Source organism: Homo sapiens, chromosome 5, assembly GCF_000001405.40.
Source record: "Homo sapiens chromosome 5, GRCh38.p14 Primary Assembly".
NCBI classification, from domain to species: domain Eukaryota; kingdom Metazoa; phylum Chordata; class Mammalia; order Primates; family Hominidae; genus Homo; species Homo sapiens.
Genome location: NC_000005.10, coordinates 171469835 through 171496821, shown reverse-complemented (window position 1 = coordinate 171496821; position 26987 = coordinate 171469835). Strand labels below are relative to the sequence as shown.

Sequence of the window (26987 nt, the reverse complement as noted above, 5' to 3'; positions counted from 1 at the left end):
TGGAAGGAACAAGAAGGCCATCTTGGAGGCAAGCCTTGGTTAGGCTCTGCAGAAGGGATTCAGGGCCAAACATAACATCAGATTATTAAAAATGTGGACTGTAAACACCGGCACAACAGGCCAGAACACAGTGGCCAACACACCACAGCCCAGCTGCTGCTCATGCCCATGGCCACACCACCTGCTGCCCCTGATTCTGGGATGGACCCAGCTCCACAGGCACCGGGCACAGACTGGTGTGTTTTTCCTGAGCTGAGCCCTGGGGACCTGGCCAAAGCCTGTCCTCATAGCGAGAAGTCCTGGCAGGGTTCCTCAGAGAGGAGAGGGCCTCCTACCCTGCCCCCTGCTCTTGCCTTTAGGCTGGCCCTGAGGAAGTGACCAGAGACCAGGCCCCTCAGGGATTCTATAAACTTGGGCCTGACAGTATGGAGCCAGGTGCCCCATATAGGACGGGAACCCCAGCACCCCCAGTTGGCAGCTGTGTGAACTTGGGCAAGCCACTTTACTTCTCTGAGCCCCAGGGTCCTCATCCAAAAAATGAGGGTATTGGAAGCCACCCCCTCCCCAGCCCGTGGTGTGAGGGTTAAATGAGATAGTGCATATAAAGCGCAGTGCTGGCAGAATAAAGGTGGGACTGGGGCTCAGTGCACCCTGGCATCCCACGCCAAGCAGGGCAAGACTGATGCTGGGAACCAAGCTCCCATCATATCTGGGGGTCATGTGGTCACTGGAATGGCCACTTCTCTTAGCACCACAAGGTGAAAGGTGAAAAGCCTGGGTGCAGAGCTGAGTGAGCAAGCCTTGGAGACAAAGAATGCTGGATCTTTTTTGTTTTTTTGTGATGAAGTCTTGCTCTGTCGCCCAGGCTGGAGTGCAATGGCGCGATCTCAGCTCACTGCAACCTTCGCCTCCCAGCTTCAAGTGATTCTCATGTCTCGGCCTCCTGAGTAGCTGGGACTACGGGCGCGCACCACCAAACCCAGCTAATTTTTGTATTTTTAGTAGAGATGAGGTTTCACCATGTTACCAGGCTGATCTTGAACTCCTGACCTCAAGTGATCCACTCGCCTCGGCCTCCCAAAGTGCTGGGATTACAGGCGTGAGCCACCAAGCCTGGCCGGAAAGGTGGATTTGAACCCCACCCCCATGATGCCATAGCTGTTACTGCCCTGTCTATAAATAGTGATATTACCTACCTCACTGACATACTTGCTCACTCAAGGAATTACTGAATTTACTGTTGAGGACCTGCCTTGTGTGCAGCTCTAGTCTCCATGGAACCCTAAGGTTGGGCTCCTGCCCTCAAGATCATTGTGAAGATTCAAGGAGGTACTGCATGGCGATGCCTGGCATTCCACAAGTGCTCGGTAAGTTGGCTTTCCTACATTAATCACTGCCTGCCTCTCTCCCTCCCCACCTTCCTTCCTCCTTCCCGCTCTCCCTTGGTGGCCCTTGCCTCCTTCCTTCCTTCGACTCCCACCCTCCCTTCTTCCCTCCCTCCCTCCCTCCCTCCCTCTGTCCCTCCTTTCCTTCCTTCCTTCCTTCCTCTGTGGGGCATGAATCAGACACGGGCCCTCTGGGAATAATTACATAGAGAATGGGGTGGAGAGTTCAACCCCCTCTTTCCCCAAACAGGTACCAAGCCCTTCTTGGCAGGTGCAGACCAGGGCCTGGAAGGAAAGGACAGAGTTGGTGGCCACAACAGGAGAGAGAATTTAAAAAAACAACCCACTCAGTTACCTTCGAAAGACCAAGGCTTTGGCCCCAAGACCTTCCTTCCAGCCCTGAATTCTCTGATCCTCAGTTCTGGGAGGGAAAGGAGAGGAGGGGCTGGATGACTCAGCGGCCCTCTGGGCAGTTTGTTCCAGCCCAGGGGCCCAGGGAAGCCCCTTGTAGGGAGGGGTAGCTGCTGGTCACATAAGCTGCAACTGGCCCTGGGACACCACACTGTCACCCCAGGGTCACGACCCCACAGGAAAAGAGGCTGCGGGACCCTCCCCCGGCCAAGGCCTCGCCAGCCTGCCCCGCCTGTGTCACCACCCAACTTGGCTGAAACCTGATCCAGAAAGATAGAGCCGGCCGAGCCAGCCAGTTATGTCTTAATGTAATTTAGCTGTAATCGCAGCGTGTTTTCCCTCGCTATAATTAGTAAAATGTGGTTGTTTTCTGTGTTCCTGGAAGATGTCTGAACCAGAGCCAGCTCCCCGTAGCTTCTCTGACAGGCTCTCCCAAATAGGCCCACTAGCAACACAGTGGATTTACCAACACTATTTCCCCCCTTGACCTGAGTTCTCCTAATTCCTGAGTTGAGGCCTCTCTCTCCTGGCCCCTGAGGACACGTCCCAGGGTTTAGCGCGGGGCCTGCACGCTGTAGGTGCCCAATAAACGTGAGTGGGTGATGGAGGGATCAAGCCAGCAACAACAAAAAGGCATGTAGGGAAAGAATTCCTCATTTAGGATGTCCACGAGACCCACAAAGAAATGCGTGTGTTGTATGTGTATGCTCACAGGTGTGTGTGCTGTGTATTGTGTGTGTGTGCTCCCAGGCGTGTGTGTTCTCACAGGCATGTGTGTGCTCCGTGTTGTGCATATGTGCTTGCAGGCTTGTGTGTATTATATGTGTGTGCTTGCAGGCATGTGTGTGTTGTGTATATGTGCTCACAGGCATGTGTGTGTTGTGTGTTGTGTGTGTGTGCTCACAAGCATGTGTGTGTTGTGTGTGTGCTCCCTGGCGTGTGTGTGTTGTGTTGTGTGTTTGTGCTCGCAGGCATGTGTGTGTTGTGTGTTGTGTGTGTGCTCACAGGCATGTGTGTGTTGTGTGTTGTGTGTGTGCTTGCAGGTGCAGCTGTCTGCTTGTGGGTGTATCTGGGATAATGGGCAGAGCCAGCTATGCGTGGGGCTCTACCAGCTTGGGACGTTTTGTCTGTGTGTTCCCACCAGACAGCGCTGTGTGCAAGTGTGGGAATTCTGTGTGCTGTGCACGGGGCCACCCAGAGAGCACCAGAACTGGCCCTGAATGCTCTGCTGACTGCAACACAGCAAAGGATGTGCAGCCCCTGACTCTCCCTGTCCTGCGCGCAGTGCTCACAACCTTCTGCCTCGGATCATCCTTCGGCACAGTCTTTTGTCCTTTCACTCAGGCATCAGCAAACATCCCTCAGGTCCTCCTGTACACTGCCATCTGCCACTCTCGGTGGCTCTCCAGTGGGTCTCTCTGTAGCTTCTTACTCCCCCACGAGTTCATTCATTCAATGAGCGTTTCTTAAATAATTACATGGGCTAGCTTGCGGTTTTGCGGTGGTTTTGTGTTGATGTTTTTTGTTTTTTTTTTTAATGAAAGATCAAGATTCACGTTTTCTGCCTTTGCCAATTCTCTCCCAATAGGAAACATATTTCAGATCTCTTATTTTTTTTTATTATCAATCGCTATGTAAAATAAAGTGGTGATAGCACTCACCCTTACCTCAAAGAGTTTTTGTGTACAGGTTACAGTCTAAATTCCCTTGCTCAGTATCAGTGAGGAGAATGACTATTTCACAGAGGCAGTAGGGCAATCAGGGGCAAGAACCCCCACAACACTTATTTATGTGGCCTCAGGCAGGCTACTTCACCTTTCTGAGGGCAGTTTGAACATGCTTGATGTGTAAGTGCTCAATAAATGTTAATTATTATGTTACTAATCGTGTGGGCTTTGCATTTTCAATTAATCGGTAATGCTTGGAAAGTGCCGCCAACAATCATTTCTCCAACCCAGCGCCCAAAGTTGTGTCCTTGGCAGAAATCAAGAGCATCTGCATCAGAGGAATGCCGAGCTCTGGTTGGCTGAATTCGCCTGGACTCTTCTGATTGGCTGGGACACGAGTGGGTGTGGCCCATTTCCCAGAGCCCACTTGGCAGTCATTCTTGGAGACTGACGTCAGACCGAGGATTTGGCATTTTACCTGGGTTATTGTTCTTTTTATCTTTTCTCGGGAAATCTCACCAAATGTCCAGTCCTATGATTTCTGCAGATAAATTCTTCCAAAACACATCTCCCTTTACAAAATGCGTAATTGTAGTATTTGCCCCACGGCGCTTGGGTGGCTGAAGTGGCAACGCGTGCTCCAGTGCGGTGGTGCCGAGTTCCACCTTCTCACGGTGGGCAGGGGGTGTTCTGGAGACCTTGGCGCCAGGCCTTTACTCATGTGAGAGCCGCCAGTCCTCCTTGCAAATAGGGCATTTCTCCCGGCCAGGCGCAGGAAGAAACTAACTTTTTAAAAAATGTTGGTAAAATGCACTTTAAAATGTTACCATCTTAACCAACTTTAAGTACAGTTTAGTAATGTTAAATACATTCACACAGTTGTACAGCCAATCTCCAGAACGCTTTTCATCTTGCAAAACTGAAACTCCTGTCTGTTAAACAGCAACTCCCCACTCACCCCTCTCTCCAGCCCCTGGTAACCACCACTCTATTTTCTGTCTTGATAAATTTGACCATTCTAGGCCGGGCACGATGGCTCACGCCTGTAATCCCAGCACTTTGGGAGGCCGAGGCGGGTGGATCACTTGAGGTCAGGAGTTCAAGACCAGCCTAACCAACATGGTGAAACTCCGTCTCCACTAAAAATACAAAAATTAGCCGGACGTGGTGGTGGGCACCTGTAATCCCAGCTACTACTAGGGAGGCTGAGGCAGGAGAATCACTTGAACCCAGGAGGTGGAGGTAGGTTGCAGTGAGCCCAGATCATGCCACTGCAGTCCAGTCCAGCAACAAGAGTGAAACTCCGCCTCAAAAAAAAAAAAAAGTGACTATTCTAGGTGCCTCATATACGTGGAATCGTGCAATATTTGTCTTTTGGGGACTGGCTTATTTCACTTAGCATAACATCTTCAAAGTTCACCTGTATTGTGGCATATGTCAGAATTTCTTTTCTTTTTAAGTCCTGAATAATATTCCATTGTAGGTGTTGGTCACAGTTTGTTTATCTATTCATCCATCAATGGACGCTTGGGTTACTTCCCCCTTTTGGCTATTGTGAATAAAGCTGCCATGAACATGGCTGTACACGTACCTCTTCAAGTCCATGCTTTTCATTCTTTTGGGTACATATACAGAAGACGAATTGCAGAATCATATGAAAAATCATATGAAAATTCTATTTTTAATTTTTTTGAAAAACTCAGCATATTGTTTTCTGTAGCAGCTGCACCATTTTACATTCCCACCAACACAAGTGTTCCTGTTTTTTTCCATCCTCACCAATATTTCTTATTTTCTGAAAGTTTTTTGTTGTTTTTTGTTTATTCTTTTGACAGTAGCCATCTTAATGAGTGTGAGGTAGTATCTCATTGTGGTTTTGATTTGCATTTCCCTAGTGATTGGTGATTCTGACTAAGGGATTCTGTTTCCAACAATGAAACCAAATGGGGAATTTCTCCACCCCTAGTACCATCTCTGAGACCAGAAGTGATTGGGGGGCTTTTTCGTTTTTGTTTTTGTTTTGAGACAGAGTCTCGCTCTGTTGCCCAGGCTGGAGTGCAGTAGCTCGATCTCAGCTCACTGCAATCTCTGTTTCCCAGGTTCAAGCAATTCTCCTGCCTCAGCCTCCCAAGTAGCTGGGATTACAGCCAGCAACCACACTGGGCTAATTTTTGTATTTTTAGTAGAGATGGGGTTTCACCATGTTGGCCAGGCTGGTCTCGAACTCCTGACCTCAAGTGATCTGCCCGCCTTGGTCTCCCAAAGTGTTGGGATTACAGTCATGAGCTGCCATGCCCGGCCGTGACTGTTCTTTTTTATTCATTCATTCATTCATTCATTCATTCATTCATTCATCACTCACTCATTCCTCTGCTATGCCTTAAATGCTGTACTGAGCTCTCCACAGATATTTAAGAGCAATACCAAGGCAATGCTACTGAGAGCAGATGTGTGAAATGACATTCAAATGCAACACGGAGAACTTCAAATGGCCATTGAATACGTGAAAACATTCTTCACCTCACCGATAATCAAAAAACTCCATACCTGAACAAGAAGATGAATTTTCTCTCTCTTTTTTTTTTTGCCCTGCCTTTTAGTAAAGATTTAAAAGATTGATATTACTACTAACAATATGAGAAAACAGGTCTTTACACATATTATTGTGAGAACATAAATTGAATCAACATTTTTGGAAGATAATTCAGCAAGTTCACATCTAGAATTCATCCTAAAATAAAACTGGGCAAACACACAAAGATAGGAATTTTGCAACAATACAAATGACCATCAAGAGAGGATTAACTACATAAATGATGATATGGTATGGGAGAAGACAGTGGAAGTGAAAGATGTCTAAAACAAAAGGCTGCTCCCCAGATCTACGGGTTCCACACCCTTGGTTCAACAAACTGCAGATGCCAAACCTGTGGGCTGATTTCTTGTATCCACAGGTTCCCGCGAGGCAGACTGAGACTTGAGAATTCTTGTATTGTGTTATCGTGGGGATCCTGGAACCAAACTCTCATGGATACTGAGGTATGACTATAAGCTAAAGCAAGTTGCAGAAAAGTCTGCAGTGCATGTAAGCATACATATATACATAATAGGGAGGTAGACAAATATTTTGTTAAATATTCTGAAAAGATATGTGCTGCTCTTGATAGTGGTTCTTTTGATGCGATGGTTTTAAAGATACAAGACATAGACATAGAAGACAAAGATATAAGACTAAGACTAATATCAAAGGAAGAGAAATTTTAAAGATGTCTCCTACCTTTTGCAAGTCTGCATCTTCTTTGGAATGTTTACAATGTGTTTGCATTTTTCTGCTTATAGTCAGAAAAGAATAATAATATTTTAAAAATAAATTCACTTTGGGAGGCCGAGGCAGGAGGAGTGCTTGAGCCCAGGAGTTCAAGACCAGCCTGGGAAACATGGTAAAACCCCATCTCTACCAAAAATTAGCCAGGCATGGTGGCATGCGCCTGTAATCTCAGCTACTCTGAAGGCTGAGGTGGGAGAATCACTTGAGCCTGGGAGGTCGAGGCTGCAGTGGCCGTGATCACACCACTGCACTCCAGCCCACGTGACAGAGCAAGATCTTGTCTCAAAAAAGAGTTTATCTGGACAGATTATTGTGAGATAAAGGCCATTAAATATATGAGAAAAAAAGAATATACTTTTCCAAGTGGGAGAAAAACAAAAACAAAAAATAGACAAACAAAATTATTCAATTGGGGTGGAGAAAGTTAAGTATTATCTGTGTATTATAAGGTCACAAGTCACAATACTTAAAATTGCAGAGTTGAGTTTAATCTCATAAACAAGTTTTTATAGGAATCGAAGCACAAACAACAGATGTCATTTTACCTCTACGGCATCTTGCAAGATAGGGGAGGGCAGGCTTTCTTACCACTATCAGCATTTCCCGTTGATGGGCGTGGATACCGGGTCCCAGAGGAGGAGGATCACAGTCAGACCCTCTAAGAGGAAAACATCTGAAGATTTGGAGGGAGGGACAACCTAGGTCAGGCGAACCTGAGAGCAAGGACAACTTCTGTTCCTTTGGAAGTAGAGTTGTCCACAGGCAGGAATGGACGCTGTCCCCGCGCTCGGCACCTTGACAGGGTGAATCCATCTCAGGCACTCTTTCTTGCCGAACCCTGTGCAGCCTGAAATTCACATTTATCCAAAACCACAGCCAGTCCGCCCAGAGTGCCTCATGAGATGGAAAGGCTTGCCATCTCAGTCTGGACCAGTCACCTTCCTTGGCAGAGAAAGAGCCCAGGGCGTGGAGTGGGGTTCTGTGGCACCGCACTGTGTCCAGGGCCCTCCCGGCAGCCCAGCCAAATGCCATCTCATCATGTGTGACCCTGAGGCAGCTGGGGCCACCCTTCCCTTCAACCTGCAGATACAGGCACTCGAGCCCCGCCCCACAGGTACCTGCAGGACACGCGGCACCCTCCTCACTGCTTCCCAGGAGATCCCCAGCGGCGCCTACCTTCCCTCAGTGTTCTGTCTCCTGCTCCTGAAGCCCACTGTCAGCTGTTCCCTGGTCACTTCTGCCACCTTGGCCACCAGTTGCTGGCTCCGCTCCACCCTGCTTGTCCCAAGCATGAACACAGCCCACACTTCTTCATTCCCCAAAGCACCTCAAGAACAGGGCTTTTGCCCGTGACAGAGAGATAGTGCTGCAAAGAGCAAAACTCAACTAAAGCTGGAGAGAAAATAATCTGTCCCTAGAGTTTGTTAGCGCTTTACCTTGACAAAGGATTTCCCTTGTATGTTTCTCAGGAGTCCCTTCTCTCCCTGTCCCTTTACCCCCAAAAACCCAAGACTCCTACTTTGGTGCCCCCTAAGGTGGCTTCCATTAGGAGGGTGTAGGTAGTACAGGTGCCATGTTACATCCGGGATACTCAAAAAAGCAAATTGCCTGCAGCTCTGCCCTCCATGCCTTTGCTCAAGCTGTGCCACTGCCCGATTCAGCTTTCCTCTTCTGCCTCTTCTCTTTCCTACTCTCTCCTCACCCTTCATGTCTCAGGTAAGGTTTCCCCTTTCTGTAGACACTCCCAGGATGAGTTAGAGTCCCAGCCTCAAGCATCCCACAAGCCCCTTATAACATATTATCACAGAGGTTGTAAGCCAAAACCCCAGGGGGATTTTGGTTGGGTTTTTTTGTTTGTTTGTTTTTGTTTGTTTTAGAGTTTTACTCTTGTCACCCAGGCCGGAGTGCAATGGCACAATCTCGGCTCACTGCAACCTCCGCCTCCCAGGTTCAAACCATTCTCCTGTCTAAGCCTCCCAAGTAGTTGGGATTACAGGTGCCCAGCACCATGCCCAGCTAATTTTTGTATTTTTAGTAGACACGAGGTTTTGCCATGTTGGCCAGGCTGGTCTCGAACTCCTGACCTCAAGTGATCCACCTGCCTCGGCCTCCCGAAGTGTTGGGATTACAGGCGTGAGCCACTGCACCCAGCCGGCTTTGTTTTGTTCTGTTTTTGTTTTTTTAATTTTTAACTTTTCTGGCGATGCTTTTTTCTCAGATTTTTAATGTTAGTTTTAAGTTAATTTTCAAGTTTTGAAAAATAGGAGAATTCACATAAGTATCAAAATTTCTGATTTGACTTAAAAAACTGGAGGCTCTGTCCACACAGGGTCCATTTTCCCATGAACCCAGTGTGAGAATATGGACCCATGTGGCAACAAGAGACTGCAGCTGATGGAAGCTGCCACCACCGCCAGGTGTGTCTCTGAAGTTCACCACAATCCCCACCATTCCCTATTGCCTCACACTTGGCCTCCTCACTAATTTATTTACCCTCCCCACCTGCCCTGTATCAGGGGAGCTTATGGCTCCTGAGAGGTTGGCATCACCTGACCCTGACCTGCCTTTGTCTCCCTAACACACTGTGAGCACTTTGAGAGCAAAGCTTCGCCATCTCTGCCTCTCCAGGCTGAGACAGACACTGGCTCAGAGCGGGTGCTCAACAAATGATTTGTCAAGAAAACACCTCAAAGCCCTTCTTCCCCCAGGAGGCCAAGACCCAGTATCTACAGCACCCAGGGACAGTGGGGTACATTTCTCTCCCTCTTGATCCAACTTCCCCTTGGACACTGGAAGGCCCACATCCCATGTTCTCAGCAAGACCTCTCCTTACCCTCTGGATTAGTTAGGGAAAACTAGGTCCTGACCAGGTAGTCCCGGCTCCTCAGCGAGTGGCTTTTACACAATGAAATCTCGTTTCTCCTTCACATCACAGTCCGATGCAGGTGCTCCTGGCCAGGCAGCCTCCATGCAGTCATTCAGGGCCCAAGCCTCTTCCATCCTGTGCTTCCATCCTCTTCGAGGCCCTCAGAGTCCTCTCCTCTCAGCCAAGGGGCAAGAAAAGAGAAGGGGGCTCATAGGAGAGTTTTTTGGGCCAGGCCCAAAGTGGCATGAATCACTTCCACCACACTCCACAACCTAGAAATCATGTACATGGCCACACCTAATTGGAAAGAAGAAAGGGAAGAGCAGTGGAGCCACGTGGCCAGGAGGAGCAGAGAACACAGAGATGCATGAATATTGAGCTCTCGCTGCCAAGCCCTCCTTGTCCTTCATTTCTGCTCAGGAGGAATCCTGCAGAGGTGCTCCAAACTCACAGGGACTTGATCTTTCAAGAGCAAGAAACTAAAAAAGAAAGTTTCCTAATCTCACTCCCAGCCTTGTTCAGTGACTCCTCCCAGGAACTGTTTTAACGATCTATCGCTGCTACGTAACAAGTCACCTCAAAAGGGACTACGCAAGGGTGTCAATAGCAGGCATGCTTCACTGAACCAATCTAACAGTCTACACAGGTGCTCCAGCAGGGCAGAGTAGAACAATGTGGGACCTTTGAGTCCAGCCAACCAGGGTTCAAATCCCAGCTGCGACACTTCGCAGCTGGACGACCCTGAACATGCCACTTAGCCTCTCTGAGGCTCTGTTTTATGCATCCTCATAGAGGGGTGAAAGCACTGTGGCCTTGGGGACTCTTGGGCTCCTGTACCCCCCACCTCCTCAGCTTCCACCCACTTTTATCCCTTAAATATTGGGATTCTAGAAACGATTCTTCTAAAGAAAGAGAAGCAGCAGAATGCGGAAGTTAAGTCACAAGCTCCAGAGTGCCTACCTTGCAGGGCTGCTGTATGGATTCAGAGTGATCATGCTGAGCCCTGGGCCTGGTCCCCACTAAGTGCTTCACACACATTATTGGTTCCCATGTCCCCAGCCCCAGCGGGACCCACCTGACAGTGTTCCCCCACTGCAGGATATGTCTTGTACATACTGCAGCTACATTTAATTCCCCCAGCATCACTGCAGAAGTCAGACAATTGCAGAGATTCGACTCCTACAAAAGAACAAGGTGAATCCCAGGTGGGACCTGGGTAGGAATTCACTGCATTACACAGAAACAGGACTTCGCATGGTACGGAGACCATATCCCCCCCTAGTGCTCCCAAGCTAGACACACAGCCAGGGGGTCATTGATTCAACTCACATGACCACAGTCTGCTCCAGGACCCAGGATCCTACCCAGGAGGGGGTTTGGGACTGCACACTACTCAGAGGTGAGAAAAGGGCCTCTTGTTTACTATGGCTTGGGGGAAAGACTGATGGAGATTTAGGGGACCCACATGTCCATCCCCCAAGCCACCCCTCGGCTGCCACTGCCTATGACAGCCGACATGTCCCAGAGTCTCTAGTCAGGGTGGAAGTCTCTTCATCAGGGATATAAGGTTCTCTGCCCAGTTGCTGAGGCCAAAGATTAAAGCATCTACCCCTGTCACCTGAGGCCTGGACCTTATCTCAAAGTCAAGGTAGCACCCACAGAGGGAGCAAGTAGTGGTCTGGGGGCTCTACCCCTAACCAGCTCTGGGCCCGTGGGCAAGTCCCTGCTCCTGTCTGGGGCTTGGAGAGGGGGGCATTCGATCAGGGCTTTTCAAACTGGCCTGGAAAGCTTCAGGCTCCTGTACCCCCACCTCCTCTGCTTCCACCCACTTTTATCTCTTAAATGTTGGGATTCTGGATAAGATTCTTCTAAAGGAGAAAAGCAGCAGAATGCAGAAGTTAAGTCACAAGCTCCAGAGGCAAAGAGACCTGGGTTCAAATGAGCAAGGTTGGGCAAGACACTTCACCTCATTGATCCTCAGTCTCCCCATCTGTAACAGAAATAATACTGGAACATACCCCCGTTTGGGTTGTTCCTAGTATTAGGGGAGATTGTGTATATAGAACTCTTGGTATTGTGTTTGCCACATGGTGAGTGCTCTATGGATGTAACCTACCATTATCATTATTTTGAAAAGCTGCCGAATTTTGTGAAGGTTTACAAACGTTTCCTTTGGTGGTCTCTGATCTCATCAATCCTAGCCTCCACCTTCAGCTCCCATCCCAGCCATCCTCCCCACTGCAGTGGCTGACTCTGGGTGCCATGAGGCCTCTGCATTGGGCCTGGGACTCCACTGCTTAGACCTGGTTGCTGGTCCCAGCTCTGTCACTGACCAGCTGGGTGGTCTTGGGTGAGTCATTTTACTTCTCCAGACCTCGGTCTTGTCATCTGTTAAGTGGGAATGATGTCACTGTATACCTTCTAGGGGTGTTGTAGGGATTAGTACAGCACCTGACACATAATAAATGCTCAATAATTGCTGTAACGATTACGTTTAGTTGGGGTAGGCCGTTTGGGTTTTATTTTTTTAATCAAGTTGTGGGGGGGTGGGCGCCCTCTAGTGGTGAAGCCCCACCTGGTGGGGGGTGCCTCAGCCTTTAGCCTGGGTGGGGAGGATAGTGAAGGAAGGACCTGTGGACTCACATATTAGACGGGGACCTTCTTGGAACCAGGGGTGTGTTCCAACCTAGGGCTACCACAGCCGACCCTGGGACCAGTGATCTGTACGCTGGCTTGGCAGGGAGGGCAGAGAAGGAAGCTCTGGCTTAGACCCCTGGGTAAACATCTCTGCAAAGAAGGAAGAGACAGTGGCCACCATAGAGAGAGAAGACAGGCATGAGAGGGTGCAGAGGCAGTTCTCATTCTCCCCTCTTCTATTGCTAGACACACCCTCACTACCATCCTCCCAGTCCATTTTACGGATGGAAAAACCGAGGCCCACAGAGGTAAAGGCGCTCTCCTGCGGTCACACAGGACATCCAAGGCAGAACGCATGCCAGCACCTGAGCTCCAGGTCCAGTGCTCTCTGCTCCACACTACAAGGTCAGCTTAGCCAAGCCAGGTGACGGGAAGCAGAGGACATTTCATTGAATCATACAGTGAAATTTCGAAGAAGGGGAAAAAAGCAGCAGGCGGAGTTCCCAGGGCTGGAGCCCTGCCCAGCTAGTCCCAGAGCTCAGGGAGGGTGGGAATGACGCAGCCTGGGCCCATAGCGGTCTCAGGAGCACCATTCGCCGGGAATCTGCAGGCAACGGCAGCCAGAAGGGCTGCAGAGGCTCTGGGAAGGACGGCTGAGCCGGCGGCGGCCCAGGCTGACTCCACAGGGACGCCAGGATTCCCTCCATCACAGAATCCAAGAGGACCCCCACCTATCCCCAACCCCCACACACACAAACACAGAGAATAGCCCAGGCCCAGCAGAGCGGACGGGCAACAGAAGCCTCCTCTGCAAGGAAGGGGTCAGCCTGGAGCAGAGAAATCCCCGCAGACCCATGAGAGGGGCGGCCACGAGCAGGAGTCCAGGCCCAGCTGTGGGCCGGGGCTGAGGCCGAGGGTTGGAGGCTGTGGACACGGCCAGCTCCCTTCCCTACTCAGACAGGCTCCCTTCCTGTCCTCCAACCTGGGAGGCCTTGCCTGCTATGTGTCCGAAAAGCTTTCTCACGAGTTATAGCTCAGCTGAGACTCACAATGCCTCTGTCGGATCATCCCAACCTACAGGCGAGGAAGCTGAGGCTCCATGCGAGGAAGGGGCTGCAGGCTTTCAGAGCCATTCCCACCCAGCATGACTGTCTGACATCACCCCCTTTGACATCCTGAGATCTGCAGCATTAGGCCAGGGGAAGGAGGGCATGGATCTGGTCAGCCACTGGCCCCCAGGACCCTAGTAAAATGCTATCCCCTACCCCAGCACTTAGCAGCTCCCGAGCCCCAGTGATCACGCACTCCCAGGGCAAGATGTGGAAGGAGGTGGTGCATGATGACACAAAGAAAGCAGGCTTTGGCTCAGCTGGACCTGAGTTCAAATCCTGGCTCTGCTGTATATTTTCTGGGTGACCTTGGACATGTCATTTGCCTCTCAGCTACCCAGTTTTCTGAGCTGACAGAAAAGCATAGTATCCTCTGCACATGCCGTTCGTAGTAAAAGTAAGAGCTACCGTTTATTGCACCCTTTAAGATCAGGTCCTGTTCTCATCACTGTCGCTGCTTTAGATGATCTAAGCCTTTCAACAATGCCCCAATATATTATTACTCATAGCTCCATTTGCAGAGAGGAAACAGAAATATCTAGGAATAGGCAGAGCGAGGATTTGAACTCAGCCTGTCTGGTCCCTAAATACTAAGTTACGGTGTCCATTTATCACATAGGAAAAGCACATCACAGATGTCAGATGTGCTATGGGGCTGGAAAGTTTGGGATGAGTGGAGATGGCAAGGTTCAGAAACAGATTGACCAAGGAGTGCCCGTCTCTGCCAGGATCCATTTGGACCAAGCTCATACCCTGGGTTGGGAAGAGCTCCGGTTGTACTCTGGGGTCTCAGCTCACAGCTCCAGCCCGGTCCCTTCATCAAATCATCTACTTCTCAGTAGTCACTGAGGCTCTCTTTTGGGCCAGGCCCAGGACTGGACACGCAGGCCAAGGCAGATGAGGGGCCCAACCCCACAGCCCCCTCATGTGGGAGGAGGCCTTTCTAGATGCCATGATGGTGAGGAGGCAGGAAACCAGGGCATCTCTATGGTAGGTGGACTCACTGCCTGATGGAAAGAAGCTCTGCTCCCAGGGCTGAGAGGCCAAGCTCTCCCGGGGCCCCTCCCTGCCCAGGAGCTGCCACTTTAAGAAGCCTGGCTGGCCCCTTTAAGGAGCAATGGAGTGAGGCTATTTCCCACTGTGTGCCCCCTCCAGCTGCAACTAGAAGACTCCTGGCTTTCACACCCAGGCTGAGCTGGGGATAGGGAGCCCCCTGCTCCTCCCTTGACCTCCTGGCCACCCCTTGACCCACCGCAGCCCAAAGTTCCCATGCCTTCATGCCTTGGTCCCAGAACCTCAGTGGCCCCCATCATCCCATCCGCTCTTGATCTGTTCCCTGGCTGGGACTCCTGGCTGGGGCTGCACAGCCCTTCCCTTCCCACTCCGTGCTTGGCAGAGGGGTGAGTGTCTGTTCTCGAGCTGGGCCCAGGGGGCTGGCCGAGGCCAGCGAGTGGAAAGGGAGGTGGAGGGCAGGGCTGTCTAAAAGGAACCCCCTTTTCCAAGGAGCCAGCTCCACCCACCACAGGGATGTGGGATGAGAGCAGTCAGAAAGGGGGACCGGCCCAAAGTGAGTGCTGGAGAGCATCTATCTGCACAGAAGACTGAAGAAAGTGGTTAGGCTTCTGGGAGAACTGATTAACCAAGGAGAATCCAGACTCCTGCAAGAACGGAAAGTCCCCATCTTCCTGGGAGTCTTGGTCTTCAGTCGGAGGAAGGCACACAACCATACATCCAGAAAAGCACCCACTCTGCACCTGCACCCTGCTAAGCACCTCACAGGTCTGATGCCAGCTCACACCTGGACTTGCAGCCTTCCCACTCAGGTCCTCACCCAACTAGCAGAATGAGTAAGAACCCAGGCTTGGGAGACTTGAAGGATGCTTCGATTGAATCCTGGCCCCACTATTCACCACCTGTGTGACCTTGGACAAGTCATGTCACCTCTCTGGGCCTTAATTTCATCATCTGTAAGATGGTGATAGGCTGGACGCGGTGGCTCACACCTGTAATCCCAGCACTTTGGGAGGCCAAGGCAGGTGATCACCTGAGGTCAGGAGTGCGAGACCAGCCTGGCCAACATTGTGAAACACCATCTCTACTAAAAATACAAAAAAAATAAAAAATTAGCCAGGCGTAGTGGCACATGCCTGTAATCCCAGCTACTCGGGAGGCTGAGGCAGGAGAATCACTTGAACCTGGGAGGTGGAGGTTGTGGTGAGCCGAGATGGCGCCACTGCACTCCAGCCTGGGCAACAAGAGGAAAACTCTGTCTCAAAAAAAAAAAAGATGGTGATAATAGTTCCCACCTAGGGGGGCTGTTGCAATGAATGCTCAGGGAGTGCATGCTCCTTTCTATGGTTCTGCCCACCCTGCACCCCGACCCGAGTCTCTTCGGTCCCAGTGGAGCCCCAGGTGGGGCGTCCAACCTTCCTCAGCAGTGGGGAATGCCCTCCCCTTGGCTCTGCCATCCTCCTGCCTATGTACCGTAGCTGTTCAGCAGAAGATGCACACAGCCATATTGTAGCCTCTTGCAGAAAAACCTGCGGACTCTCACCACCAAGGCTCCAAGGGACCCACCCCAGGGCACCCCTGCACTGTCACCTACTGGAATCAAAGTGAGGTCAAGAGGAGCCACTGAGAAGGGGATGGTTCTCCCCAGATCCACGTCTGAAGGCCCAGGTCAAGTTTGTGTCTCACGCTCCTTAACAGAATGGCCTTGACCCCTACAAGCCCTGTTTTCCCATCTGTGGAGTAGAGCGGCAAAGACTTCTGCTGCTGAAGGAGGTTGTTAGCCTAGGCTGAGCAGAGCCAAGGGGATGCAAATTCAGCCTCGAGGCTGCCCTTGCCTTTGTTTACTTTATTGAGTAAAAGAAAATACTTTGAACATTTTATGAGGACTTGGGGAGGGGAGGAGGGGTCAGGGGAAGGCTTCATCCAAGAGAAACAGCCTCCTAGGAGGATCCAGCCAAGAAAACCCTAACCGGGGGGCCTGGGGGGTTCTCTGAGCGTGGCCAGGGATGGGAGCATGAGGGGATACAGGAGCCAGAAGAGGGGCGGAGCACTGCAGATGGGGAAGAGACCCCTCAGGCTGGTCCTTCCCCCGCCAGCTAGTGCCTCCTTTTCTGCTGCCGCTGCTGAACCAGGGACCACCCAGAAGCCCCAGCTCCCCCATCACTCCCACTTGGGCGCGTTCATTCATTCCTTCATGCACTCATTGACTCATTCACTCATTCACACAGGCAGTCACTGTTCCTGCTCATTCTTTCCCTCTTTCATTCATTCCCCCTCTGGTTCATTCATTCACTCACTGAGGCACTGGCTCAAAGGTGAACAGTCAAGGGCCCTGCCTTCAAGGCATTCTTTGGTTAGTACAGGACAGTCCCTGAGGAGGAGCATGCCTGAGGCTGTAAGAGGCCAGGGGACCCTCCCCAGGAAGGGGTGAGTTCAGGTAACATGAGTGTGGGGCACTAGGTGGTAAAGGGAGAGGGGAGGCAGTACAGGAGAATGGCACAGAGGTGGGCAAGTGTGCAGTGTGTTTTAGAAGGGGGCAAGAAGGCCAGGGAAGAGGTGGAGCTCAGCACCCACAGAAGGCCAGCCCTGGGCACGTGGCAGGGGACCCCAGGACTGCTGTGGGCTGTCATCACTGCACCAGGCCAGGATGCCCTAAAATTCCCCAGCACTCCCTGTGGGCCTTTTCCCTAAATTTCCCAGGGGACTGAAGTCAGACTACTGCTGGGACCCCTCCCATCCTGCCTGGGGAAACCCCAGCATGGCCCTACCTCTCCCACCCTGCAGGAAACCCCAGCACTTCCTGCCGTCTGGGTCACAGATCTGAAAACCTTCCTCTGGGCTCCTGTCCTCAAAGGCTGCAGGTCTTGAAATTCAAGCCCAGAGATTGCCAAAGCAGCTCAAAAACTGCTGAGTATTTTTCAGAAGAAGGAGGAGGAGGAGAGGTAGAAGGGGAGAAAAACAGACAGCCTGGAAAAGAGTGAAGCTGGCCCCACATTGGAGCTCCTGGGGCTCTTCAAGCCCAACGGCTGCCCTGGCAACAAGGGCTCTCAGGCGGGGTCCCTGGGAGTTCCAGGAGTGTCCCCAGGGTACAGCCTGGCTCCTCCAGGGTAGGGACACTGGTTCCCAGGTGACATTTCCACCCTGAAAGGTCTTTCAAGCAAGTGTATGATGATCCCCAGGGAAGCAAATCACTGCCCTTTGCCTCAGCTTAGCACCTGAAGGCCACTTAGCACCTGAAGGTGTTAAAAACTCCCAGGTCACCACTCCCACTGGGGTTGCTGGCTGCCACCCAGAGCTCCAGGAAAAAAGACCAAGATGGCTGACAAGCTCCCTCAAGCACAGCAGAAAGAAGAAGAGCTGAATCCAAACACTATCTCTCTCCTTTATTGAGGGATCTTGAATCAGTCAAGCGGCCTCTCTGGATCTCAGTGTAAATGTGGACAATAATAGCTATTGTCCTATTATAACAATAGGAGTCCTATTTATTGAGTGCTTACTGCTTGCTAGATATGGGCTAAACACACAACCTCATTTAAGCCTCGTGACAATTCTATGAGGTAGGTACTTCTGTTATCACCACTTTACAGATTAGAAAACTAAGCTCAGAGAGGTTAAGTACCTTGCCCAAGGTGATCCAAGCAACAGGGGAAAAAATAAAGATTCCAACCCACCCACCCCAACTCCAGAGCCTGCAAACTTCACAGTTTTGCTGCATCTCAAGGTGTTTTTGTGCATTGATCGAATAAATGAAGAATGTCTTCTTGTGCTGGACACAGGACATAGATGAATCTCATATCTGCCCTCAAGCAGCTTCCAACCCACTGGGTAAGACAGATAAATAACCAATTACAATGCAGTGCGGTTGTTGTTTCAGTAGAAATGAATTACAAGATGCTGGGGGTATTTGTCAGGCTATTTAATGCAAGCTGCTTTAACAAATAATCCCAGCATCTCAATGACTTAGGAAGACATCACATGGTACAGTGCATGGGCAGGAGCTTCTGCTCCCCGCAGTCATTATGAGATCCAGGCCTCCTTGGAGTCTTCTGCTAGATTCCCCTACTGGAGGTCGGCCAACAAGCAAGAGAAGGACGTCATGGAGGACTGCGTGGAACATTTTGTGGGCTGGCCCAGAAGTCACGTACCTCACTTGTCCATATTCCATTGGCTGGAACTAGTCACACTGCCCCACTTAACTGCAAGGGAGGCTGGGGATTAAGGAGATGGTGTTGGTGAGCATCTAGGAGGTGTCTACCACCCTGGGGGAGGGAGACAAAGAGAACACATCCCTATTTGGGTTGAGCAGAGAAATTTCCAAGAAGTAAAGATCAAACTGGGTTTGATCAAAGAGAGGAGTGACCCTGAAGTGGGGCTGGGCTTGGCAAATCACAATGTGTAACAAAGACCCTCCCCTTAGGGCCTCTCTAACTGGAGACAGGTGGAATAGGGAAAGAGCTATGGACTCGGAACCCGAGCTCCAATCCTGGCTCTGCTCTGACTGTGGACAGGCATGCAACCATCTGAATTCAGTGTCCTTATCTGTAAAATGGTAATTAGAAGATTAACTTGGAGATTGGGTTTGGAGCCAGGCACACCGAACAGCACTTGATAAATGCCAACTACCCTTGATGTTGTCTACTGAGGCTTCCTGAATCCACACCACTTAGCCCTTGGGTGTTCTCTAGCAGTATTACCTAGACATATTGTGAAGAAAATATTTAGTCTATTCCCCAGCATATGATTTGATTCCTACCACTTTGCAGCCCCAAAGGCTCCAAGGGAGTGGGACAGAAAACTCCATCTAGAGGCTAAAAACCTGCCCCAGGACACAACTTTCCACCCAATGACTTAAAGACTTTCCTGTCCCAAACTGTCAGAACTGGAAGACACCTTACAGGTCATTTGGGTCATTATTTAACAGATGGAAAAACTGAGGTCCAGAGAAAAGAAGGAATTTTTCCCCAAGGCCCCACAGTCCAAAAACAGAACTCACAAATATGTTTCACCTCATGTGCCAACTCTGATCCACTGGTTGTGGCTGCCTGGAGCACACTGATAAGATTTCTGAGGCTTGATCTGGGCTCAGTGGGGAAGAATACCAGAATCGATTAGTCATGTCTTCTATGGGTGGGTTGGGGAAAGTAGACAGTACGTATTTACATTGCTGCAGTAGATGATGAGAAAATGCATCAATCCTCCTCACCAACTTCTACTTTCTCCTTAAAAGGTTTAGCAACATTCATAGAAGATGGTTCCAAAATAAGTCAAAAGGACTTAGGGGACAAAAACCTAATGTCCAAAATGAAGTGAAATCACTTAATAAAAGCTCTAATGCAGACCCTACAGCAACTATAACTCCTTAACCATCATTCAGGCACTATAACCCTGGACTCCAGTAAATGGCTCCAGTATCCTAAATTAAAGTAGACATTTGTTGTTGCTACTTCCCCTTCCTAGAAATGTCCCAATTTCCTTCTGAGGAGTTGCCTGTTCCCCATAGCACACAGTTTATTGCATATGTTCCAATCTGCCCCTACCCCACCCAAACCTGGAAGTTGAGTCTTAAAGCAGAGACACAAGGAGACTGGAAATAGTCAAGTCTTGGTGCCCAGCTGTCTAGGCTCAGGATGAAGAGGTGACCCCCTCATCATAGGTGTTTCCACACAACATCGCCACTGTCTGTGTCTCCTGTTAGATAGTAAGTTCCTTAAGGACCGAGACCTTGTCTTGTTCACTGATGAATCAACAAAGTTTAGCAAGCTGTCTGCATGTGGCAAGCATTCAATGATCTTTGCTGTTCTTAAATGAATGAATGATTTAATGAATATTAAGAAAGCATATAAGTTCTGAATCAGAGGACAGGATTTAAGATTAGCTCTGCTTCAACTATCGCAAGGACAGAAAACCAAACACCGCATGTTCTCACTCATAGTTGGGAACTGAACAATGAGAACACTTGGACACAGGGTGGGGAACATCACACACCGGGGCCTGTCGTGGGGTGGGGGGATGGGGGAGGGATAGCATTAGGAGATATACCTAATGTAAATGATGAGTTAATGGGTGCAGCACACCAACATGGCACATGTATACATATGTAAAAAACCTGATAAATAAATAAAAAAGATTAGCTCTGCTTCTCACTAGCCATGTGACCTTGGGCAAGCCTGTTACCTCTCCGAGCCTCAGTTCTCTCATGTATGAAATGGATAAATTCCACACACCTCCCAGGATTGTCGACAGGTTTAAATGAGATAATGGATGTGCAGGGCTTTGTGGACTGTCCAAGTGATGTGCAGAGGGCAATTACTCTCATCACCAAGATAGGAAAGAGGTTGATAATAGGCCTGGATAATACAAATAACAAGCCCACCCTAGCAGATAATTGAGTGAGGATGAAGCAGATGTTGTCTTTGTCCAAAAACAGTTTGTGATTCAATGTCTGTGTTGAAACTTAATTCAAACTAGCTTAGTCAACAAGAAGAATCTGTTGACTCAGGACAGAACATTTTGACACTAGCTTCAGGTAAGGTTTGATCTGATAGCTTAAGTGATGTCACCAAAGACCTAGTTTCTAAGCACCAAAGATTCAGTAGCCAAACATTAATTGGTGGCTCAGTTGCTGAGCACAGAGTTAGAACCTAGGACATTTTTGTTCAAAAAAGATAAACAAAATTGCCCTTAATCTGATATGCAGAACCAATAAAAACTTTTGATGATTCAGGAATCAGGAACTTTGGTTGCATGAAACAGAAAGAAACATAAGAAAATGTATTGGAAGAAGTGACTGGGAGGTTGGAGAATAAGGCTTGGAAATGGACAGGAATCAATGATTGGCAGGGTGAGCCAGGTCTGGAAGGACCTTGTAAAGCATCGTAGAGTCCCAGGGTCGATGAAAAAGCATGGCGAGATTTAAGCAGGACAGTGGCATGCTTCCATTCGTGTTTTAAAAAATCTCCCTGGGGCCGGGTGCAGTGGCTCACGCCTGTAATCCCAGCACTTTGGGAGGCTGAGGCGGGCGGATCACCTGAGGTCGGGAGTTCGAGACCAGCCTGGCCAACATGGTGAAACCCCATCTCTACTAAAAATAAAAAATTAGCCAGGTGTGATGGTGCATGCCTGTAATCCCAGCTACTCGGGAGGCTGAGGCAGGAGAATCTCTTGAACCCAGGAGGCAGAGGTTGCTGTGAGCCAAGATCGCACCACTGCACTCCAGCTCTGGGCAACAAGAGTGAAACTCCATCTCAAAAAAAAAATAATTAATTAAAAAAATAAATAAAAAATAAAAATTTTTAAAAATCTCTCTGGCTGCAGCCTGCTGGAAAGATGGAAGGCAAGACAGGGCAAAAGAAGACTAGAGATGAGTTTGCGGTGGTGGTCCAGGTGAGTGATGATGGAGGCACAGATCATGGTCACCTAGAGCTGGAGAGGTCTTGAGAAATGTGAATAAAAAGAGATCAACAGGATATGGAGATGGGATGGGCCAAGAGTCAAGAATGACCCGCAGGGTCCAAGCCTGGCAGCTGGGTGGGCATTGGCACCACTCACTGAAATGGGGGGCACGGAAAAAGGATGGCTTCACCTCACTGGGTCTTGAGCTGGCGCCATTTGTCCTGCAGAAGGCCTAGGCCAGGCAGCCGGCCCAGGGAACTGGCCAGGGAGGGACAGGCTGGAGAAGGACGCCCAGTTTGGTATCAGACGTCAGGGTAATTCCAAACTCTTTTGGGTACAGAGTTGGGCCTCCAGAGCCAAGTTCTGGGATGCTGTTTGCCTCTGGCTTCCCGCCATAGGCATCATCTGCAGAGAATATTCAAAGATGTAAACATGATGATTTCATCAAGGTCCGCGCGTTAGGGGACACATGTGCAGGCGATGGCAGCCCATCAAACCGTGGAAATTCTGACCTAGGAGGTTGAGACACAACAATATGGAGGCTTCCCTCCCCCGCATCCCCTCTGGCCCGCGCCCAGTTCTCAAAAGTGGTTAATTAATGTAATGAATTATGACAAACGTGGATGGCGCCTCTGATTTGCTGACAGCTGATACAAACAGAGGCAGTGGCCAAGAATCCCAATGCGTACATTACACACACACACAACCCACCAGCACCACCACATACAACTCCACCAAAAATAGCTTGCAACTAGGTTTGTAATTCAGTGACTTTTCCATCTGTACTGGAACGTGGCAAGAAATGACTGCTGCTGCAGCTCAGGGTAAATGAAGAGTTGGAAATATGTTGTCTCCCTGTGTTTTTAAATTATAAAGCCTTTCTTCTCCTCACTGCTGCCTCTCCCTGTGACATACAGTCTAGGGTTACCTTTAGCCAACCCTGCATTCAGTGATGAAAGGAAGCGACTCACATTCACTAAGGACCTACTATGTGCCAGGGCTTTGTATGCTAAGTCAGAACTCTTTTGGTTGTAAGCAACAGAACTCCATCTGAATCAGCTTAGGAGAAAACGAAAAAGGGTGGATTTGAGAAGGCCTCTGAAATATTTCATATAATCAAACAAAAATTGAATAGTCAAACTATAAGAAGGACTGGGAGATAGCTAGGGCCAGTGACTCAATCCCCACCAGAGCTGAGGGCCTCTCCACCTCAACATATCTATCATCTATCTATCTATCTATCTATCTATCTATCTATCTATCTATCATCTATCTCTCTATCTAATCTATCTATCTATCTATCTATCTATCTATCTATCATCTATCTGCATTTGATTCTTACTAATCACAGATTCTCTATTTGTGAATTCACTTACTTGCCAAAATGTATTTGCAATCAATCCCCAAGTAAATATTCATGGTACTTTCTTTTTTTTTTTTTTTTTTTTTTTTTTTTTTAGAGACAGTCTCGCTCTTTCACCCAGGCCAGACTGCAGTGGTGCTATCTGGGCTCACTGCAAGCTCCACCTCCCGGGTTCATGCCATTCTCCTGCCTCAGCCTCCCGAGTAGCCGGGATTACAGGAGCCCGTCACCACGCCCGGCTAATTTTTTGTATTTTTGGTAGAGACGGGGTTTCACTGTGTTAGCCAAGATGGTCTCGATCTCCTGACCTCATGATCCGCCCCCCTTGGCCTCCCAAAGTGCTGGGATTCCAGGCGTGAGCCACCGTGCCCGGCCTATTCATGGTACTTTCATGGTTGTTCATGGGCATGCATGGAGTGGTGATAATTTTTTTGTTGTTGTTGTTTTTGAGACAGAATCTCACTCTGTTGCCCAGGCTGGAGTACAGTGGCACAGTCTTGGCTCACTGCAACCTCTGCCTCCCGGGTTCAAGAAATTGTCCTGCCTCAGACCCCCAAGTAGCTGGGACTACAGATGCCCGCCACCACACCCAGCTAATTTTTGTCTTTTTAATAGAGACGGGGTTCGCCATGTTGGCCAGGCTGGTCTTGAACTCCTGACCTCAAAACAGTGGGATTACAGGTGTGAGCCAATGCACCCGGCTGTGATAATTTTTTGAGTCACATGATGCACATGTTTCCAGCTAAGGTCAAACAAGGCAATGCCCTTCTTCTTGTTCAGCTCTCTTTTTATAAACAAGCATCCTTTTCAAGGTCCATTTAGTGCCACATTTTTATCTGGAGAAGCTTCGTCCGGTAGTTACGGTGCTGCTGACCATGCGTTGAGTGTCAATGAATCAACAATATATATTAAATAAAGTGTTTAAACAGAAACACACATACAACAAGGTATGTGTTGATCCATGGATGAAAATGCTGTGACCAGAAGCTCACAGGAACCTAACCTGTGGTTCCTCTGGGAGCAATAGGTTGGTGTTCACTAGTTTCATTTGTGGCAACTTTACAGAACATAACTACCACCAGAAATGAGAATCAACTATATCTCCTGTTTCTCCTTCTCTTGGCCTGCTTCCTTCTCTCCAACTCAATGTCCATAGTAGGGCAAGGAACAGGTCGCCCACAGCTGTGCCTCATAGCCTCTGCCACCAGAGAGGGGCTTTTCATGTTTGAAAAATCCGGGACCAATCAACTACGGTGGGAGTGGGGAAGCTTGCACATATACAGGGTGTCTCCCAGTGAAACTATATAAAATTCAGGAGCACCAGTTCCTAAAAGAACAGAAGACTGCTCTCATATGCCTGGAAAAAAGACTGAGCAGACAAACATGTCACTCATTCACACATACACACACACATGCACATATTTACTTAATTCTCATTGCACAAGTTTTACTATATCCACATACCACCTGTAACATTACCACCTAGTTTTCCTTAAATTAACTCTTTATTTATTTGCTTAAATGTATTTAAAAAGAAAATTTATATTTCTATCATATATAGAAATTGATCATCAAAATAAACTTGTAACGTTAAAATAAAAAGCAAATGTTAGTCCAGAAGCCATCTGAAATTCTTTCGCCTGAAATTGACCATATGTTTAGAAACATAGGTTTATGTTTTAGTCTCTGTCTCTGAACTGGGAGCTCTGTTCCAAGGAACCATCTCTCATTCACTGCAGCTCAGCACAGGACTGGCACGTATGAGCACTCAATAAACATTTTATGTCTAAGCTCAGGCTTCTGCCACCTGCATCTTCCTCTTAGGTACATTGGAGAGGACACCGGTTGAAGAAGAGGAGCCCCTCAAGAGGAATGAAGGGGCCGGGTGAGATAGCTCATGCCTGTATTCCTAGCACTTTGGGAGGCCTAGGTGGGAGGATCGCTTGAGTCCAGAAGTTTGAGACCGGCTTGGGCAACATAGTGAGACCCTGTTTCTACAAAAATAAAAATTAAGAATTAGCTCAGCTGGTGGTGTTCATCTGTAGTCCCACCTACTTGGGAAGCTGAGGTGGAAGGATTACTTGAGCCCGGGAGGTTGAGGCTGCAGTGAGCCATGATTGTGCCATTGCACTCCAGCCTGGGCAACAAAGACCCTCCTCCAAATAAAGGAGGAATGAATGGATAGAGAGAGGCAAAGAGGGAATGGAAAGGGGGTGCGCCTAATGGGCTGAGCCCTATCTGGCCTCTTCTTAGAACTACACCTGCCACGGACCTACTGCCCTCCCATGTACTTTTCCTGTTTCCTCAACATCTTTGTCTGGACTGTATCCCCTTCCTAAAAAGCTCTCTCTTTTCTCTCCAAGACTCATTCTTCAAATACTACCTCCTCTTCTGTATCAGTTGGGAAGCTTTTAGCAACACGTAACAAAAAACCCAGCTGCAAGAGACTTAACTACAAAAAAGTTTTGTTATCTGAGACAATGAGAAGACCCCATATGGCTTAATTCGGCAGTGGAACAATATCATCGAGAACTCAAGCTCGTTCCATCACTTTGCTCTGCCATCCTCAGTGCAGCAGCTAGCTTTCCTCATGGTCTCAAGATAGCTACAACAGCTCCAGCCCTCACATCCTCACCAAAATGCAGACTCAAAAAAGGAATCATGACTTCCTTGTGTCTGTTTTTAAGAATCATGAAGCCAGGCATGGTGGCTCGCGCCTGTAATCCCAGCACTTTGGGAGGCTGAGGCAGGTGGATCGTTGAGCTCAGTAGTTAAAGACCAGCCTGGGTAACATGGCAAAACCTCATCTCTACAACAAATATAAAAAAATTAGCGGAGCATGGTGTGCTTGAGCCCAGGAGGTCGAGGATGCAGTGAGCTGAGATCACGCCACTGCACTCCAGCCTGGCTGACAAAGTGAAACCCTTCTCAAAAAAAAAAAAAAAAAAAGAATCATAAAACTTCTCTAGAAACATGCTCCACCTCCAACACCACCCCACGGACCCTAATAGTTCATTGGCCAGAACATGATCACATGCCGCGTCTGAAGCCAGTTATTGGCACAGGGGATGCAGTTAGCGTGATGGGCTATAATGAATCAAGACTCACCCGTTGTTTGGGAGGCCGAGGCAGGAGGATCACATGAGCCCAGGGTTTGAGACTAGCCTGGGCGGCAAAGCGAGACGCCGTATCTACAAAAATTTTTTAAAAGATTAGCCGAGCATGGCGATACACACCTGTAGTCCCAGTTACTCGGGAGGCTGAGGCAAGAGGATCCCTTGAGCCCAGGAGTTCAAGGTTGCAGTGAGCCATGATTGCGCCACTGCACCCCAGCCTAGGTGACAGAGAGAGACCCTGTATCAAAAAAGAAAAATAATTAAAAACAAAAAAAGACACACCCTTTGAGGATGATGAGGGTGGGAGGGCAAAGTTTCTCTGAAGTACATGACCCCATAGGGGAGCACAGAACGTGAGCCAGGTCCAGTTCTGCAGTGAGAAGCCGACCACATTCTTTTCAATACTTCCTCTCTAAATACCTATCCCTCAGGCCACTTGGATAAAATCCCTCTTTGGTCCATGGGAGCCTCATGTCTAATGGATTAAAATGTCTCCAGTCTTGTCTCCCTTTCTAGAATCCTCTGCACAAAGACCACTCCACGCCATCTATCTCCTTTGTCTAGACTTGTTGAATTACTTTGCACTTATCATAGCACAGTATAATTTATAATTGATCTGCTTACGAGTCTGTCTTTGTCACTAGGCTGTGAGATCCTTCCAGATAGGCCAGAACTGTACTCAGATGTAAGAACCTGGCTCAA

The 26987-nt window shown here is 49.0% G+C and overlaps 2 long non-coding RNA genes across 2 annotated transcripts in view, besides 3 other annotated features; one reads left to right on the top strand and one right to left on the bottom strand.

Annotated features, from left to right (window-relative positions):
• LOC105377720 (uncharacterized) overlaps positions 1-2026 on the bottom strand; it is a 7958-nt gene extending 5932 nt beyond the window's left edge. Inside the window, exon 1 of the long non-coding RNA XR_941212.3 lies at positions 1741-2026. This is a non-coding gene — a long non-coding RNA (uncharacterized LOC105377720). The remainder of the gene's footprint in view (positions 1-1740) is intronic.
• On the top strand, positions 1236-26987 carry LOC105377721 (uncharacterized). The gene is made up of 3 exons (XR_941213.2): positions 1236-1367; positions 6418-6502; positions 26930-26987. It is a non-coding gene; the product is annotated as an uncharacterized LOC105377721 (long non-coding RNA).
• Positions 2342-3189: an enhancer, noted in NCBI's record as "H3K27ac-H3K4me1 hESC enhancer chr5:170920637-170921484 (GRCh37/hg19 assembly coordinates)". NCBI's record gives its function as "activates a minimal SCP1, AML or CMV promoter by ChIP-STARR-seq in naive H9 embryonic stem cells {active_cell/tissue: H9 hESC(naive)}" and the evidence as "EXISTENCE:reporter gene assay evidence [ECO:0000049][PMID:30033119]".
• Positions 15965-16800: an enhancer, noted in NCBI's record as "H3K4me1 hESC enhancer chr5:170907026-170907861 (GRCh37/hg19 assembly coordinates)". NCBI's record gives its function as "activates a minimal SCP1, AML or CMV promoter by ChIP-STARR-seq in naive H9 embryonic stem cells {active_cell/tissue: H9 hESC(naive)}" and the evidence as "EXISTENCE:reporter gene assay evidence [ECO:0000049][PMID:30033119]".
• Positions 16801-17637: an enhancer, noted in NCBI's record as "H3K4me1 hESC enhancer chr5:170906189-170907025 (GRCh37/hg19 assembly coordinates)". NCBI's record gives its function as "activates a minimal SCP1, AML or CMV promoter by ChIP-STARR-seq in primed H9 embryonic stem cells {active_cell/tissue: H9 hESC(primed)}" and the evidence as "EXISTENCE:reporter gene assay evidence [ECO:0000049][PMID:30033119]".